A 16810-nucleotide genomic window follows, 5' to 3' on the forward strand; every position below is an offset into this window, starting at 1 on the left:
CTTTCCAGAAAGAAATATGGTCTACTTTTACAAAAGGGGCTTAATTCTTTGAAAGAAAAGCATGCTAAATACAAAAAAAAAATCCCATCTGGTGGGGAGGAGGTGGTGCTCTCTGCCCCTGTTGTATGAATGGGGAAACAAAGCACAGAGGGCTGTAGCAGACTGCCCAAACCAAGGTTTCACGTAACGCTGCCTCGTTTCAGTGCTTCAAGTTCGAGCCTACATAGTTATAAAATGCTGCACCTCAAAGTTAAAAGAAGTCCAGGCTATTTTGTCTCAGTATGGCCTGGTTTGGGTTCTCCTGCAGCACAGCCTGCCACAGCTTGAGGTTTGAGCCTTATGCCCAGTACCACTTTTGACAGCTGCAGAAGCAGAGGGCTCATTAGTGCTGGCTCAGGCAGTAGCAGCAGTGGGTGCTCACATATTCACAGGACTTGAAAATACCTGAAATAGTGTAACTGGGTTTACAGAGGTAAAACTCTTATTTAATCTGGTACAAGGAGCATTTTCTCATGGCACTTGGTGCCAATGGATCTGCGATGGGAAGCATTTGAGTCAAAGGTCTTCTTCTAGGTATTGCTGGTACTCCACCATTGAACTTGGGTACCTGCAAAAAAAGCTTTCAATTTTTTTCCTGGCTTCTGTAAGAGGGGACTTTTCCTTCACCCTCAATTCTAATTCTGACTTCACAATGGGGAACTGAGAGTTTTCTTCAATGAGCCATTAACAAATTGCCTCCAGTACTGACCACAATGTCAACCTGGATGTAGAATTATCAACTGTCTCAGCCTCAAGCCAGTCCTCTCGGTTGACAGATGGAGAAACTGAGGTCCAGAGAGAAGTGAGTTGTCTACAACTGCCTAGGGAGTACCCAACAGACAAGCACTCCAGCTCCTGGTCTGGTGCATTCAAATGGCCTGTCCTGTTGGGATGTTCAGACTGGAAAGCAGGAAACTGACTCTGGGCTGGGCATGGTGGCTCACACCTGTAGTCCCAGCACTTTGGGAGGCCGAGGCAGGTGGATCACTTGAGGTCAGGAGTTTGAGACCAGCCCGGCCAACATGGGGAAACCCCGTCTCTACTAAAAATACAAAAATTAGCTAGGTGTGGTGGCGGGCGCCAGTAATTCCAGCTGTTTGGGAGGATGAGGCAGGAGAATCGCTTGAACCCAGGAGGGAGAGGTTGCAGTGAGCTGAGATCATTCCACTGCACTCCAGCCTGGGTGACAGAGTGAGTCTCAAAAAAAAAAAAAAAAGAAGAAAAAAGAAAGAAAGAAAAGAAAAGAAAAGAAACTGACTCTGCAGTATGTGTGCAGAGAGCCCTCAATAAGTGCCAGTTAGAGGTATGCAGGATTCTCTACTTTCTTTGTTTATATCTGCTGAAAGACTTTGTTCCACATTTCTCTCTGGTTGGTTTGGTTCCAAAGAAAATGGAAGATGAATAATTTAGTAATTTTATTTGCTCAGTAGGTTCCTTTCGATGCCACTCTTTGTTGGGATAAGTAACGGTACTCATAAGTGCAAGATTAAGCTTACCCTTCTCTGAGGCTTATCTGTGGGCTTCCCATAGCAGTTGTCCTGTTCCTTAGAACCAAATAGATTTGGGGGACCCCCAGCTGAAATTTCTCCATGCCTCCCTTTCCAAAGAGGAGAAAACCTTAATAGCCACCCACCATCTGACATCCAGATTACAATATTATTGACATTTCTTTCCCTGTTGAGTGGATATAGGAAGAAACAAACTCAGTTTCTTCCTGCTATACTGTCACAACATACTTCTATGACCAAATGTATGGGGCTTTTTCCCACACACCAAGCAAGCAAGCAGTTCTGCAGAGGGCACACAGTGTCCTCTAACTCAGTTTGATTCTGATACTATCTACCTGGAAACAGCATCAGATCCCACAGTTTGAGGGCTCAATCCCACAAGACTTTCCCCCATTTCAGACACCAATCACAAGTAATAGTTTGTCACCTACACCTCTGACCAAGTGGCTATAAATTGGTGTTCCCACTACCCTCTCCTTGGACTCAACTGATTTGCTAGAGCAACTGACAGAACTCAGGAAAACACCTACATTTACTGGTTTATTTTAAAGGATATTATAAGGGATACCAATGAACACCAGATGGAAGAGATGCATAGGGCAGGGTCTGTGGGAAGGGTGGCAGAGCTCCCATGCCCTCCCAACGTGCACCACCCTCCAGGAACCTCTAAATGTTCAGCTGCCCGGCAGCTCCCCACACCCAGTCCTTTTGAGTTTTTAATGGAGGCTTTATTATGTAGGCATGATTGATTACATCATTGGCCACTGGTGATTAGTTTAACTTTTAGCCCCTCATCTCCTGGAGGTTGGGGCGTGGGACTGAAAAATCCTATCCTCTAATCATACCTTGGTCTGTCCTGTGAGCAGCCCCCATCCCGAAGCTTCCAGGGGTTCCCCAACCACTAATCATCTAATAAGCATACAAAAAACACTCTTACCACTCTGGAGATCTCAAGGGTTTGGGGAGCTATATGTCAGGAAACAGGGATGAAGACCAAACATGTATTTCACTGTATCACACCTGTTCTCACCCCTCCCCAGATCTTCTCTCAATTAATATGAGACAAAAAAATGAGTCTGACTTCTTGACCAAAATATCAGTTCTGTCCTTAGCAGCTTTATGGAGGACAGATTTAGTTTAAATTCCTTAGGCATTATGCCCCTGTGGCTCCACTCAATCAGAAATAGGGTCAACGGCAAGGTCAGGGCCTCCAATCTGGGCAAGAGGGAGGCAGCCACGGTATCCACAAGTGTAATTCTCTGAGTGCTGGTTGCTGGGAGGGGCACACCCTGGGCCAGCAAGTCACTTGGCCAAGGGTGGCCAACTGTGAGGTAGCACTGCCCTTTACTCCCTAAAAAAATGTGAATCTCTTTGGAGCAAACTCCTCTTCAGAAATTTGAGCACTTGTTTTCTGAGCAAGGGAATCAGCTAATGCTTTTGACTCCCCATCCATCTTCCTGCATCCTCGTCCCACCTCTCCTGCCCCCACTCACCTGGCTCTGTCTTTACCCACACCATGGTTTTGGTACAAGAACACCCTTTTCCCCATAAGCTACATTGGTCCAGGCCATAAAAATTCATTAGTTCCCTTTCTTCAGGGGCCTTCTGAAATGCTCCCTGGAGAACTCTTTATTCACTTCTTTGCACAAGAATCACATATGTGTGAACACTGGTATTGGCCTTCTAACTCAGTTTCTTCAAACCAGGGTCCTGGTCTGGTTGCCCCTGTCTCCTCCCACTGAGTTTTATCTCCACATAAGTATTGCTCACCAAGAACAGAGCTGTTGACACCACTGGGCCTCAAGCATGCTGAATGCATTGCTGCCAACTGCTCTGCCTTAAGAAGGTTGGAAACTGATGAGGGTGCCACAAATTGTTCACCTCAGCCCTTCTGGGCTGGTTGGAGGAGGCCCTCTCATGAATCAGTCAGCAAATGTTTGACCCCTACCAGGTGGTCCTGGTAATATGTGGTATGAATCATGGTCCTAGATGTCTGCCATAGCAAATAAAAAAGGAAGACAGGGAAAGAAGCTGTCGCCTACAGAGTGGCTTGATGACAGCTGCCTCACTAATTTAAAAAGCCATGTGTAGTGCTTCCTATTTCTCACTATGTTTGGGTGAGTGGGAGAGGGAGAAAGATTATATGGGCTTCGTTGTGACACTGTTCTTAGCCAGTGGGTCAATAGATGAGTTTTGGTTTTGTTTTTTAGAAGACAGGATGAGAAGAGAGTGCCCCCTTCCACCTCCAACATGGCATGCCATGCTAGGTGCTGAAGGAGTTCTCTAAGCAGGGATGGAGCACCGTGCGTGTGTGTGTGTATATGTGCACGTGTGTGTGTACGTGTGTGTGTGTGGCAGGTCTAGAGGGTCGATGGCTCTTTCCTGCCTCTTGCCCTTGGTATGGGTACCTTAGTGATGCATCATGGCCCTCCCTTAGGACACACAGCTTCGCAGTGCCAGTGAACCCACTCCTTTTGGCTCCTCCTCTGGAATGATAAGCCCAGATGCCCATGCTGCCCGTGAAGGGCTTCTTCTTGAACTGAATGTGGAGGGCATCTCTGGTCCCGGCCATCTGCCAGTGACTCTCATGTGCATTCATGTCCCTCTCTTCTCTCTGTCCTGTCTTCTCTGCCGCTGCCTCTTCTCTGCAGGTACACTTGCTGAAGGACCAGTTGGCTGCTGAGGCTGCGGCGCGGCTGGAGGCCCAGGCTCGCGTGCATCAGCTTTTGCTGCAGAACAAGGACATGCTCCAGCACATCTCCCTGCTGGTCAAGCAGGTGCAAGAGCTGGAACTGAAGCTGTCAGGACAGAACGCCAGTAAGCCAGTGCCCTGCCCAGCCCTGCTTCCTCTGTGAAGGCTCTGGAAAGAGTGTCACTTTCCTTAAGTTTTTGGTGGTGCTTTCTTGGACCCCTGACCTACCCCTATATTCCAGCAGAAAACATAGGCAGCTTTGTTTTCCCATTAGTATACTTAATGAATTACAGAATCACATGCCCAAAGGAGATCTCGGGTGCCTTCTAATCCAGGCCCAGGGCTGGACTTTGAATGTCCCCGGAGTCACTGCTATGTGCTCATCCAGTCTCTATTTGATAGGGGCTCAGGTACTCTGTGTTCTAGGGCAGCCCATTTCTTTCTCAGAGAGCTTTTGCAATCAACAAACAGTATACTTGGCACCTATTGGGTGTCATGGTCTCTGTGAGCTCTGTGGGAGACAGCAGATTGTTTCTTAGTTTACTACTCTGCACTATGTATTTCAAGACTCTGTCACACAGAAAAAGCTGGGAGCAGTATATCTGTTCAGTGGATAAGGCAGTGGAATCTGGCTGCACTGCTCTGCTGGGCAATAGCAGAGGTTGCCTGGCCCCTGCTTGAGAAGCTGTCTCTACACTCAGTACCCCTGGGCTGGGCTGGGCAGCTGTAGATCGCAACACATTTTCACGCCTTCCTCTTGAGCCTTTCCGTGGGTTGTTTGCATGCTCAGAGTGTGTGTGGGCTGTGGACCAGCAAATAGCCATTGATCACATATTGTGCCAGAAACTGTGATAGAATTTTTTGCCTGTGAGCTCATTTAATCCCTGTAGTTCTGCTGCAGAAAAATGGGATGCCATTTTACAGATGAGGTAACAGACTCAGGGAGGTTAAGTAACTAGCTCAAGGTTATAGGCCTAGCAAGGAGCAGAGCCAAGATTCAAACCTAGATCTGATTGCAAAATTTTGTTCCAACTATACCAGTGGTTCCCCCAAACCATCCCATGAGCTCTTTTAAAAATGCGTCTTTCCTACTGAGATCCTACATCGTTCTGTCTAGGGCTGGTCTGGGAGCCTGTATTTTTAAAGTAGCCCAGAGGTGTGGATTGGAAACCAGTGCCCTTCACCACTCTGGAAGCCTCTCTGGATTTTCCAGATTGTTCATTGAAACTCTGCTCTATCCTAATTAATGCTTATTTACATGATTGTACTAAAGGTTACCACAGGCTTCTAACATGGTTCTCTCAATTGGTACCTTTTTCCTACCACTAACCCTATTCAGAGCCTTCAGTGGCTACCAGAACCATCATATGGTTCTTATGTCCCCGCCTTTACCACGTCCCAAAGCTCCTCCCCTCCAGCGAGGTGTGTCTGGAGCTATGTGGGGGCGGGAGGAAGGGTGAAGTGTTAAGAGACCCAAAGCCCGGAGAGGTGCTGCTAAGCTGGTCTGGGAAGGGCTTTGGCAGGGCACGGGCGGGCAGAAGGCGGGCATCCCAAATCAACAACCTTGCCTAACGCTGCCCCTCTGCTACCTCTTGTCTCCCCTGCAGTGGGCTCCCAGGACAGCTTGCTGGAGATCACCTTCCGCTCCGGAGCCCTGCCCGTGCTCTGTGACCCCACGACCCCTAAGCCAGAGGACCTGCATTCGCCGCCGCTGGGCGCGGGCTTGGCTGACTTTGCCCACCCTGCGGGCAGCCCCTTAGGTAGGCGCGACTGCTTGGTGAAGCTGGAGTGCTTTCGCTTTCTTCCGCCCGAGGACACCCCGCCCCCAGCGCAGGGCGAGGCGCTCCTGGGCGGTCTGGAGCTCATCAAGTTCCGAGAGTCAGGCATCGCCTCGGAGTACGAGTCCAACACGGACGAGAGCGAGGAGCGCGACTCGTGGTCCCAGGAGGAGCTGCCGCGCCTGCTGAATGTCCTGCAGAGGCAGGAACTGGGCGACGGCCTGGATGATGAGATCGCCGTGTAGGTGCCGAGGGCGAGGAGATGGAGGCGGCGGCGTGGCTGGAGGGGCCGTGTCTGGCTGCTGCCCGGGTAGGGGATGCCCAGTGAATGTGCACTGCCGAGGAGAATGCCAGCCAGGGCCCGGGAGAGTGTGAGGTTTCAGGAAAGTATTGAGATTCTGCTTTGGAGGGTAAAGTGGGGAAGAAATCGGATTCCCAGAGGTGAATCAGCTCCTCTCCTACTTGTGACTAGAGGGTGGTGGAGGTAAGGCCTTCCAGAGCCCATGGCTTCAGGAGAGGGTCTCTCTCCAGGACTGCCAGGCTGCTGGAGGACCTGCCCCTACCTGCTGCATCGTCAGGCTCCCACGCTTTGTCCGTGATGCCCCCCTACCCCCTCACTCTCCCCGTCTCCATGGTCCCGACCAGGAAGGGAAGCCATCGGTACCTTCTCAGGTACTTTGTTTCTGGATATCACGATGCTGCGAGTTGCCTAACCCTCCCCCTACCTTTATGAGAGGAATTCCTTCTCCAGGCCCTTGCTGAGATTGTAGAGATTGAGTGCTCTGGACCGCAAAAGCCAGGCTAGTCCTTGTAGGGTGAGCATGGAATTGGAATGTGTCACAGTGGATAAGCTTTTAGAGGAACTGAATCCAAACATTTTCTCCAGCCGGACATTGAATGTTGCTACAAAGGGAGCCTTGAAGCTTTAACATGGTTCAGGCCCTTGGTGTGAGAGCCCAGGGGGAGGACAGCTTGTCTGCTGCTCCAAATCACTTAGATCTGATTCCTGTTTTGAAAGTCCTGCCCTGCCTTCCTCCTGCCTGTAGCCCAGCCCATCTAAATGGAAGCTGGGAATTGCCCCTCACCTCCCCTGTGTCCTGTCCAGCTGAAGCTTTTGCAGCACTTTACCTCTCTGAAAGCCCCAGAGGACCAGAGCCCCCAGCCTTACCTCTCAACCTGTCCCCTCCACTGGGCAGTGGTGGTCAGTTTTTACTGCAAAAAAAAAAAAAGAAAAAAGAGAAAGAAAAAAAAGAATGAATGCAAGCTGATAGCTGAGACTGTGAGACTGTTTTTGTCCACTCTTCTGAATCACTGCCACTTGGGTCAGGGACCACAGCCATTGCCACCCTTGGCCCATCTCTCTGCGTGCGTGCCTTGAGCACACATATAAAAAGTGCCATGTGCAATTGTCTTATCTTTTATGATCTAGGCTTTGCCTAGGGATCACTACTCCTTAACGGGCTGGCTGGGGCAATGAGGAAAAGCTCCTTTGCTCCTGTAAGGCCATAAGTGGCTGTTAACAGATTTTCAAATGCCTGAAGAGATTGCTGAGACCTGCTAGAGTCATATGTTCGGGGAATTAAGTCTTTATCCTAGACAACAAGGTACAGATGCAAACTGCAGTGTTATTGGAGGGTCAATCGGCAAGGATATGATTATCCCAAAATGGAGTTCATCGACCCTAGCTTTCCTTTAGATTATATATAAATAAAAGTGCAGTCCTCTTCTAATGGCCACAGTTGGTTTTCTTGTAGCCCAGAAAGTCCAAATTAAAGGAAATAAATTCAGTTTTATGTTAGCCTTCCTTGGTGCATCAGGGTGTCAGTGGAAATAGGATCAGGTGGTGTGTGTGTGTGTGTTTTGTGTGTGTGTGTACACATGTGTTTATATATACATGTGTGAGGGAAAGTGTGTACATATATGTAGGATTGTAACCAGACGGAAAAGAACGAGGATCTCCAGGGTGTTTGAATCAGCAACAGATTTGTGTTTTCTAACATGCATTTAGTTGGAGAGGCATGGTTCTGTTTGTTTTGTTTTGATCTAATTTGCCATTGGAAATAGGTACAGTTACACAGAGAAGGAAGAACCAGGAAAGTGAGATCCATGAAACTAAATGAGCAGCTGTCAGAATCCAGTGTGGCTGAGCCTACCTAGCTTATGAAATCTAACCCAGGGTTCCCTGAGTCCAAGACCACTTAGATTATTAAGATTTTGAACGTCCAGAGGAGTGAAAAGTCTGTTTTCTGACGTAAGCCGGAGCTGAGGATAAAGCCAGAGGCCAGTGGATTAGGTGTATGGAATGTGGATGGAGAGGGCTTGTGTGGGATGTGGCCAGGGAGTGGGTGAGGAAGGCCGCTTCTAAATGGCCTGTAAAAACTTGAGATTGGATAGACGAAAGGAAATGGAGAAATTAAAGAATTGGAGAAACTAGTTATCTGTGTTGCTGACTTTGGGACCCATCCAAGACTCCTGCCCTTGGGGTGTTCCATGGTGGTTTCTTCCTGCCTGGGCGCCACCCTTTCCCCAGTTCAGGCCCTCCCTGGAGGACTAGTTTGTGTATTGGTATCCTCCCCAGTGGACCCAAACCAGCGCATACTTGGTGTGTGGAGATGGGAGACAAAGGACAGATCTAGGAGCCTTGAAGGATCACCAGCCACCGACCCTCCATCAGGGCCAACTGGGCAGGAAAGGGAACATTGCAGACCTGATTTCCCGACGATGTCACCCTGTCCTCCCTCCTTGCTTCTTGCTCTGCTAACTCAACTCTGCCTTCCTCTTTTTCATTCTTCTACTCTGCCCTATATGGAGGACAAATGGACACCAGGGGTGCTAACCTTATTGGTGCCTGCCCCAGCCTACCCCAGGTGCCAGCAGACTCTCGTGCACAGGAGGCTCCCACAGTTATGGAGCCAGGAAAGAATTTCTCTGCACTGGATGGACTGTATATTGAGATTAAAAATTATATTCCTTATATTCCTGCTTATATCAATGCTCTCTCTGTAAAACCTCTTCCTAGCCTCATTTCTCTCAACTGATCTTGTTTAGGCGTTGTATTCCTTTTATTTACTCTTTGCTTGACTGCTTCCTCCTAACCCTCTACCCACTAGCACTCTACTTCCTAAAGCTGTTGTGTCATTAACTCTGTTGGATCAACTCTCTGGGAAAAGATTCTGTTAATGTAAGTGCACTTACTCCCTGGATGTTGTCACTAGTCTAGTGGCTTTTGCTAAATAAACCTTTCTTATTTCTAGAAGCTTTTCCATTGTCTTTTCTTGCTGCTTCTATTCCACCTGCTCCTTCTCTCCCCCTCACTTCCACCCCACTTCCCAAGCCAAGTGGCATCAGCTCTGTGAGATGGTTCCCAAGGGTATGGGATTGAGGAAAGATTCACAAGTTCCCTGTAGGAGGAGAGGAAGATGGTGGCTTCATTTGCACTTTATATAGATCAGCCCTGCGGGATCAGAGGTATCAGTGGTTCTTAACTAGGCCTGATTTTTCCTCACCAGGGGACATCTGACAATGTCTAGAAATGTTTTTGGTTGTCACAAAGCTACTGGCATGTAGTGAGTGAAGCCAGGGATACTGATCAATATCCTACAATGCACAGGACAGCCCCCCACAACAAAGAATCATCCAGCCCCAAATGTCAGTAGTCCTGAGATTGGGAAACTCGTCTACACCCATTTTTGCCGACTCTGCCAATCCCAGGTTTTTTCAAACTCCAAATATCATTAGAATATGTGGGTAGTAGCAGCCAGTTGGTTTTTTTGGTTTTGGGTTTCAGGGCTTTTTGTTTTTCAGGTGTTTTTAAGGCAGGGTCTCACTCTGTCGCCCAGGCTGGAGTGCATGATCATGGCTCACTGCAGCCCTGACCTCCCTGGGCTCCATGATCCTCCCACTTCAGCCTCCTGAGTAGCAGGACTACAGGTGTGTGCCACCACACCCAGCTAATTTTTCTATTTTTTGTAGAGACGGGTTTCGCCATGTTGTCCGGGCTGGTTTCAAACTCTTGAGCTCAAGCAATTCTCCCACCTTGGCCTCCCAAAGTGCTGGGATTGCAGGCATGAGCCACCACACCTGGCCAGCATCAAGTTCTGAGTGCTTGAAAAATTACTACATCATAGATATTTGCCAATATAACTGTGTAATTGTATAAACAAGATTATTCAGCTCATGCCAGTAATCCCAGCACTTTGGGAGGCCGAGGCAGGTGGATCGCTTGTGCTCAGGAGTTTGAATCAACCTGGGCAACATGGGGAAAGACCGTTACTAAAAAAAAAAAAACATAAAAATTAGCCACGCATGGTGGTGAGTGGCTGTGGTCCAAGCTACTTGGGAGGCTGAGGTGGGAGGATGGCTTCAGCCTGGGAGGCGGAGGTTGCAGTGAGCCGAGATCATGCCACTGCACGCTCCAGCCTTGATGATAGAGCGAGACCCTGTCTCAAGGAAAAGAAAAAAAAAAAGATTATACTATTTCACGGACTTCATGACTAAATGCCTGAAATATGTAGTTGGTAGAAGTCTGAATAGGCCCATTCCAGAAATGTTCATACTGGGGACAAAACTGGCTCCTCCTCATACCTACCTCGGCGGGGATCATGGTATCACTATGACACAGCTCAGCACAGAAGTCCTGATTCATGGGAATGTAGGCTTCCCTGCAAGGAGTACAAATGAAAGGGCAGAGGAGCCTGGTAAAGGAGGGAGTGTTTGAGGAATGAGGAGCTGTGGGATCACACAGAACAGACTTTAGAAAAGCCAGGTCACTTTGGCTGGAACTTTTAGCCATTTTGCAGGCAGAGGATGTGTTAGGCCTGATGGCTTCGTCAGGCCCAGGCTAGAGAGAAAGTTGAAAAGGTTAGATCAACTGGGTTCACATGCTCTCTGTTCTTTTCTGGCTAAGTGAACTGAACTGAGTTTTGTATTCTCATCTCGAAAATGGGGATAGTATAAACCACACAAAGCTACTATGGAAAGTAAATGAGATTGTATTTTAAAAGCACCCAGTAGAGAGTGCCTGGCAGTGACCCAGGGTACAGAACAATTTCCCTTTTAGGGAGCTTCCTTCTGCCTGCACCTGTGCTGCTCAGTACAGTGCTGGGTGCTCTTTCCTGCTCTGCTAAAACTTAGCTCTGTACTGAGAAAATTCCTGGGGTTACATTGATACAACATTAAATGTGGAATGTGAAAAACGCCCTGTCTTTAGGGAGAAGACACTAACCACGAGCACCTGGCAGGCGGGATGGGCACGTGCCATGGCACCTGGGCTCAGTCCCTGGCCTGCTTGTTTTCCTTCTCGTGATATGTTCTATGCCTGTTGTACAGATGCCATAGAGAAGGGAGCATGGGGTTGGCAAAGGACAGAGACAACAGTAGCTCGGAGTGAGGATTAAAAAGATTGCCCAGAGCCACTCATCTGCCCTTTCAGGGCACAGGGTCCTGGGAGTGATGTCAGGGCTGCCTGGAGACCTCTGCACACTGGACTGGATAGGTTGTGACCTTGTCCTGGATCCCAGCCCAGCTGGAGCCTGGCAGTCAATTGGACTTTGGGATGCAGGCTGGGTGGGGTTGGGGACAGAATGGGGTGAGAAGCATGGCTCGAGGGCACAGGGCCGCAGTGGTCTCACAGCACATGATGCGATGGGGATCGAGCCCAGCCTCCCTCCCACTCTGTGGGGAACGACCACAAATGAGGTTTTAGCAGCACACTGATAAGCAGAGCAGCTCTGCTAAGCCACAGATAAGACTCTGGAGGAAAAGCCTTTGGGAGGTGAGGGAGGACCCTCCACACCACCTGCTGGCCAAGCCCTGAGGGAGGCAAAGACCAGGGCGGGGGTTTGTGCCAGGGTCCCTGCAAGGCAGTGCCCACTGCAGTGGAGGGGCTACTGAGTCATCAGGGTGATAAAGCAAGAGGTAAATGAGGCCTGAAAGGATGACCAGCAAGCATTTGGTGCTTTTTAAAAACCACATTACAGTCAAGATAGATGTCTCTGCTGCATCCCTGATGCTTATCCATCTTTCTGGGTCAGATGGACCAGGAGGTTCACTCAGAAATGGAGGCAGAGTCAGGGCTGCCCACTGGACACATTACTTGGTAACAGGAAGCAATAGGTTCCCATGTTTACCTGCCTATTTTCACCTGGCTCAAAGCAGCCAAGAAAAGACGTCTCCTGGGTCAAAACTGATTCTATTCTGCCCCAGCACTGGATGGCTGTTCTAAGTGAATGATGGTAGTGCCTGAGAGCTCAGTCCCGGGTGAGCTCAGCCCCATCTGCCTCTTACCTGCCTTATACTCAGAGGCATATTTTCCTCCACATTCCCCCCTCAGAAGATCTACCGTCAAAGAAGCCTTTAAAACTGCAGAGATTCTTCCCCATGCAAATAGGAAAGGGCATCCAGCCCCTTCTTCCCAGGGTGGGGCAAGGACTGACCACATAGGGACCAAGCAGAGGCCAGAATCCTAGAGCAGTGCTTCTCACAGCTGAGCTGCATCAGAGTCACCTGGAGGGCTGGTTAGGACATAGACCGCCAGCCCCAGACCCATAGTTTCTGATTCAGTAGGTCTGAGGAGGGCCTGAGAGTTCCCAGGGGTTGCTGGTACTGCCAGCTGGGCACCTTTGAGAACCTCTATCTTAGATGATTTTCCCAAACTTCAAGTATTGTCTTTATTTTTAAAAGAGAGAAAGGGGAGGGTGTGTGCCTGGTGTTGCTAGGCAACCATTAGCCAAAGGTGATGAGAGCCGGGTTCTGGGAAGGACAGCAGGCTGTGCGGGGTGACCTCAGACTGGACAGAAGGCTGTGACTAACTTTATTGGCATCTCTCTAGAGACATAAGTAGGCTTCACCGCCAATTTGCCTAAGGTGTTCAGCAGGACTATTGAAGGCCTGGCAGCTGCCGGAGGAGAGCCTGTCTCCCAGCCGGGCCTTCTGCTCCTTGCTCCAGAGGGCTTTGAGCTTGCGGTAGTACACCTTGCAGCTGAAGCCCTCCCTGAAGCCCCTCTTGATGTGGCTCTTGAGGAAGTCCAGGGTGGGGTACATGCGGCAGCAGGCCACGCACTTGTAGCCATTCTGCTGTGCTGGGTGCCACCTGGAAGCCATTAGGATGTCCTGGGATGTGATGGAGTCCAGGCCATGCCTGGATTTCTTGGTGGCTTCTCGAGGGCAAGTGTTCTCTGGGGAGGAAGAGGACGAACAGATGTTCTCAGCCATGTCCTCAGAAAGGCAGTTGTCCCACTTGCCCTCATCCTGCTGCACCTCTGGGAAGTCATAGGCCTCCAGCTGGCTCTCTTTGTCTGCACACACGAAGTAGCTGTAGGGGGAGAACCAGGGCCGGTAGATAGTGCAGTTCCGCCTCAGCTTCTCTCCGTGCTGGGTATCCCCCAAGCTGCAGTCTGCAAAGGAAAGGACCAGGTCTGAGTCTCTGGCAGGGAGCAGTGGAGCCAAGGATGCTGGAGCAGAAAGGTAAGAAGGCAAACATCAGGCATGACCTCGGTTACCTCCACCCCACCACGATTGCAGTTCTGAGAGCAGACGCAAGACAGTGGTAAGAGCAGCCGAGGGCATTCCTTCTCACTGCATTCTTTTTCTAGGGGTACAAAGGGCCGTTGGATCTTGGGGCAGGAGAGGCTGCTTTTAGTTGGTAAGCCTTGGTATTTGTCGAGGCCTTCCCCTCCTGGAGACACCATGTCCACTGACTCCTCTAAGGATAGACACAGACAGGTGACCCAGCGGATAGCCAAACCGGCGGCCTCCCACAGTCCCTCTTTTCGCCACCCATGGCTGTGACCCTTTTTTCAGCCTCACTGCTCATCTTGATCCCTCCACGGCCCACTCAGCCAGAAACTGCTCTTGCACACCAGTTTCAGAGACAGGAGAGGGGAGGCAAGGCGAGAGCCCCAGGCCTGTGGGTGTCTACCAAAGGAAGAAGGGCCAGATAGGAGGCTGCAGGTGACAAGACCGCGCATGGGGGTCCAGCTTCCAGACACCTCTGCTTCCTTAGGGAAGCAGCCCCTTTTCATCCTTAGCCTCTCACACATTCCCGCCCAGAGTCAGAGAAGTCCTCACCTGGTGAGAGCGCTGTGTTCTGTATCCCTTGCCTGACAATGATGCTTTGGTACTGGGGTGGCAGGGCCTGAGCTGGGCTGGATGCCTCAGTGGGTACTGCTGTCTTTGCAATGTCTGGGTTATAGAAGAAACACTGGTGAGCTGAGCAAGGTTGGGATTCCACTTTCTGGGACTCCCCCAGGCATACCTAGGGGCTCAACCTCTGTACTTCAAGGCATCTCAACGCTGAAACAGAACAGTGACCTCTCAAACTCAGCCAGGCAGAGCTATTCTGGATGACATCCTGGGGAATTCTGAATGGGGCCATTTCATTCAGGCCTCAGAAAGATCCTCTGGAAAGTGGGATTTATGATGTAGCCCAGATGACACCTCTCCGCCTGGCCTGCCCCTCACCTAACCCTCCTGCATCTCATCACGCGGATGGCTTCACTCCGCATTGCCAGTCTCCTGAGCATCCTGGGACCCAGAGTCACAGGCTGCAGAGCAATGTTCCATGCCCGCTTTGAGGATTGTCCAGTTGAAACATCTCATACCCACAGTCAGGGTTCCCGTGGGCCATCACTGCACGGCACACCCTGGAGTGCTAACACTTGGACAAAAAGCTGACCTGCCTCAAATCCCAGAATAGCAGCTGTGTTCAGTTTGGGGGACAAATTTATAAATGTCATATATGTAGACAAATGGATGCTTAGGAGGCCTACTCCACTGAGCAGTACTTCTCCATTTTACTGTGCATAGAGATCCCCTAGGGATCTTGTTAATAACACAGATGCTGATTCAGTGGATCTGGGGTGGGAACCTGAGATTCTGCATTTCTAACAAGCTCCCAGACGATGCAGACGTTGCAAGTCTAAGGACCGTATTTTGAACAGGGAGTCCTCAGGGTGTCCAACTTTATTCCATGATGTGCTCATCAGTTTACGCTGCTGCTTAGGCTTCTCTGATTTGGCTAACTCCAAATCCTCTCCAAACTTGTCAAAACAGAGCTAAAACTAGTTTCTACTCTATGTAGACATACTGCCACCTTGAGATTTCATGCACAATCTAGGGGGAAAAACTTGATGATAAATGGAGACTGAGGCAGGAGAATCACTTGAACCCAGGAGGCAGAGGTTGCAGTGAGCCGAGATCACATCATTGCACTCCAGCCTGAGCGACAGGAGTGAAACTCTGTCTCAAAAAAAAAAAAAAAGTTTTCCCCTTTCTTCCCTTACCAAAAATCAATACACAGCAGTAACTACTTACCACAAATGCAGCATTTTGAAAAATTATTTTCTCCCCATGCGTAATTTGACTTTCTCACTAAATCATGGTCCTGTAACATGATCTGGTAGGGTACTCAATTAAAAGCTTCAAAAAAAACCACATCTTTGTGGCCCTAGTGGCACCAAAGTTTACCTGGCAGGCTGGTGGCACGAGAGAACATAATGTCGGGAAAAGCACTCAGGGCGGAGGAAGAGATTGGAGGTCCAGAGATGCTGAGGAGTGAGAAGTTCTCCATATTCTGACCACTGCGGGGGTACAGAGATCACACGCCTGCTCTGGAGAGGCTGGCTGGTTTGTCCAGAGGATAAACATTCTGAGCACAGTTGATGTCACAAGGCACATGATTCCACTACCAACTAGGTTACCCTTTGGAAGATGAATGGAGTCTACTGAAAGCAAGATTAAAATGTGTAAAGATTGTATTTGACTTGCCATTGCCCAGTGGCAGGCCCTGATTGACAATACCCAGAGAGAAGAATGTAGTAGAGATACTGTAGTGATGCTGTCTATTTGTCCCCTTTTATCTTTGTTATCATCAGTTTTCTGTGTTGACACTGTCTACCCCCAGCCCTCCAGCCCTGGAAACCTCTGTCCTGTCTGAATAATCTCCTTCCTTTTCTTCTCCTTTATCAGCCTAATCTCTGTCAGCAAATATTTTTATTGTTTTGTTTTAGTTTGTTTTTTGAGGTGTATATATTTTTCACATTTTCTTTGGAAATTCAAATTTGTAAAAGTTGCAGAAATTAGGCTGGGTGCAGTGGCTCAGGCCTATAATCCCAGCACTTTGGGAGGCCAAGGCGGGTGGATCATTTGAGGTCAGGAGTTCAAGACCAGCTAGACAAACATGGTGAAACCCCATCTCTATTCAAAATATAAAATTTAGCCATGCGTGGTGGTGGGTGCCTGTAATCCCAGCTACTTGGGAGGCTGAAGCAGGAGAGTCGCTTGAACCTGGGAGACAGAGGCTGCAGTGAGCTGAGATAGCGCCACTGCACTGCAGCCTGGGTGACAGAGCGAGACTCCATCTTAAAAGCTGCAAAAAATAAAATCAATACAAAGAACACCCTTATGCCCTGTATCCAGATTTTCCTATTAACATTTTACCCCATTTGCTGTATCCGTCCCCTTCCTCCTGCCCCCTGCCCCATGTGTATGTGTATATACTTAATTTTTTCTGTGAACTATTTGAAGGTAAGTTATAAACACTATGTCCTTTTATACCTAAGTACTTCAATGTGTATTTCCTAAGAATAGGGGCCAAATATTGTTTTCAGTGGTTGGTGCTCTTTTTAGCAAGTGACTAAAGCACAAATGGGTGGCTTACTCAATACTATTTTGCTCATTGCTTAAGTCAGTTTGATGGGGAGACTCTGGGACTCCAGAGAGGCAAGGTTGCCTCTTCGTTTCGCTTGTCCTATAACAACCTTGTGCACTAACGAGGTGTGGAATAAGGTGAAAGA

At 49.2% G+C, this 16810-nt stretch overlaps 2 protein-coding genes across 5 annotated transcripts in view, besides 1 other annotated feature; one reads left to right on the top strand and one right to left on the bottom strand.

The window, feature by feature from the left end:
* NOS1AP (nitric oxide synthase 1 adaptor protein) overlaps window positions 1-9270 on the top strand; it is a 300785-nt gene extending 291515 nt beyond the window's left edge. For 2 of the 3 annotated variants that reach the window (NM_014697.3, NM_001164757.2), the window contains exons 9-10: window positions 4199-4364; window positions 5847-9270. In NM_014697.3, coding sequence (NP_055512.1) covers window positions 4199-4364; window positions 5847-6262 — 582 coding nt within the window. In that variant the 3' untranslated portion in view covers window positions 6263-9270. Of the gene's footprint in view, window positions 1-1777; window positions 4365-5846 lie in introns of those variants that run through there. The other variant, NM_001126060.2, reaches the window with a different exon arrangement.
* Window positions 5998-6497: an enhancer, noted in NCBI's record as "H3K4me1 hESC enhancer chr1:162336993-162337492 (GRCh37/hg19 assembly coordinates)". NCBI's record gives its function as "activates a minimal SCP1, AML or CMV promoter by ChIP-STARR-seq in naive H9 embryonic stem cells {active_cell/tissue: H9 hESC(naive)}" and the evidence as "EXISTENCE:reporter gene assay evidence [ECO:0000049][PMID:30033119]".
* On the bottom strand, window positions 11998-15649 carry SPATA46 (spermatogenesis associated 46). 2 transcript variants are annotated; one of them, NM_182581.4, is made up of 3 exons: window positions 15483-15649; window positions 14085-14198; window positions 11998-13411 (listed from the first exon to the last, which is right to left on the bottom strand). In NM_182581.4, exons 1-3 carry the CDS (start codon window positions 15583-15585, stop codon window positions 12843-12845), a joined length of 786 nt encoding a protein of 261 aa, NP_872387.2. In that variant the 5' UTR covers window positions 15586-15649; the 3' UTR covers window positions 11998-12842. The 2 variants fall into 2 exon arrangements, with proteins under 2 accessions (NP_872387.2, XP_005245160.1); XM_005245103.4 differs by lacking the exon at window positions 14085-14198.
* Between the last annotated feature and the right edge of the window lie 1161 nt (window positions 15650-16810).

This window comes from Homo sapiens, chromosome 1, assembly GCF_000001405.40.
Source record: "Homo sapiens chromosome 1, GRCh38.p14 Primary Assembly".
NCBI classification, from domain to species: domain Eukaryota; kingdom Metazoa; phylum Chordata; class Mammalia; order Primates; family Hominidae; genus Homo; species Homo sapiens.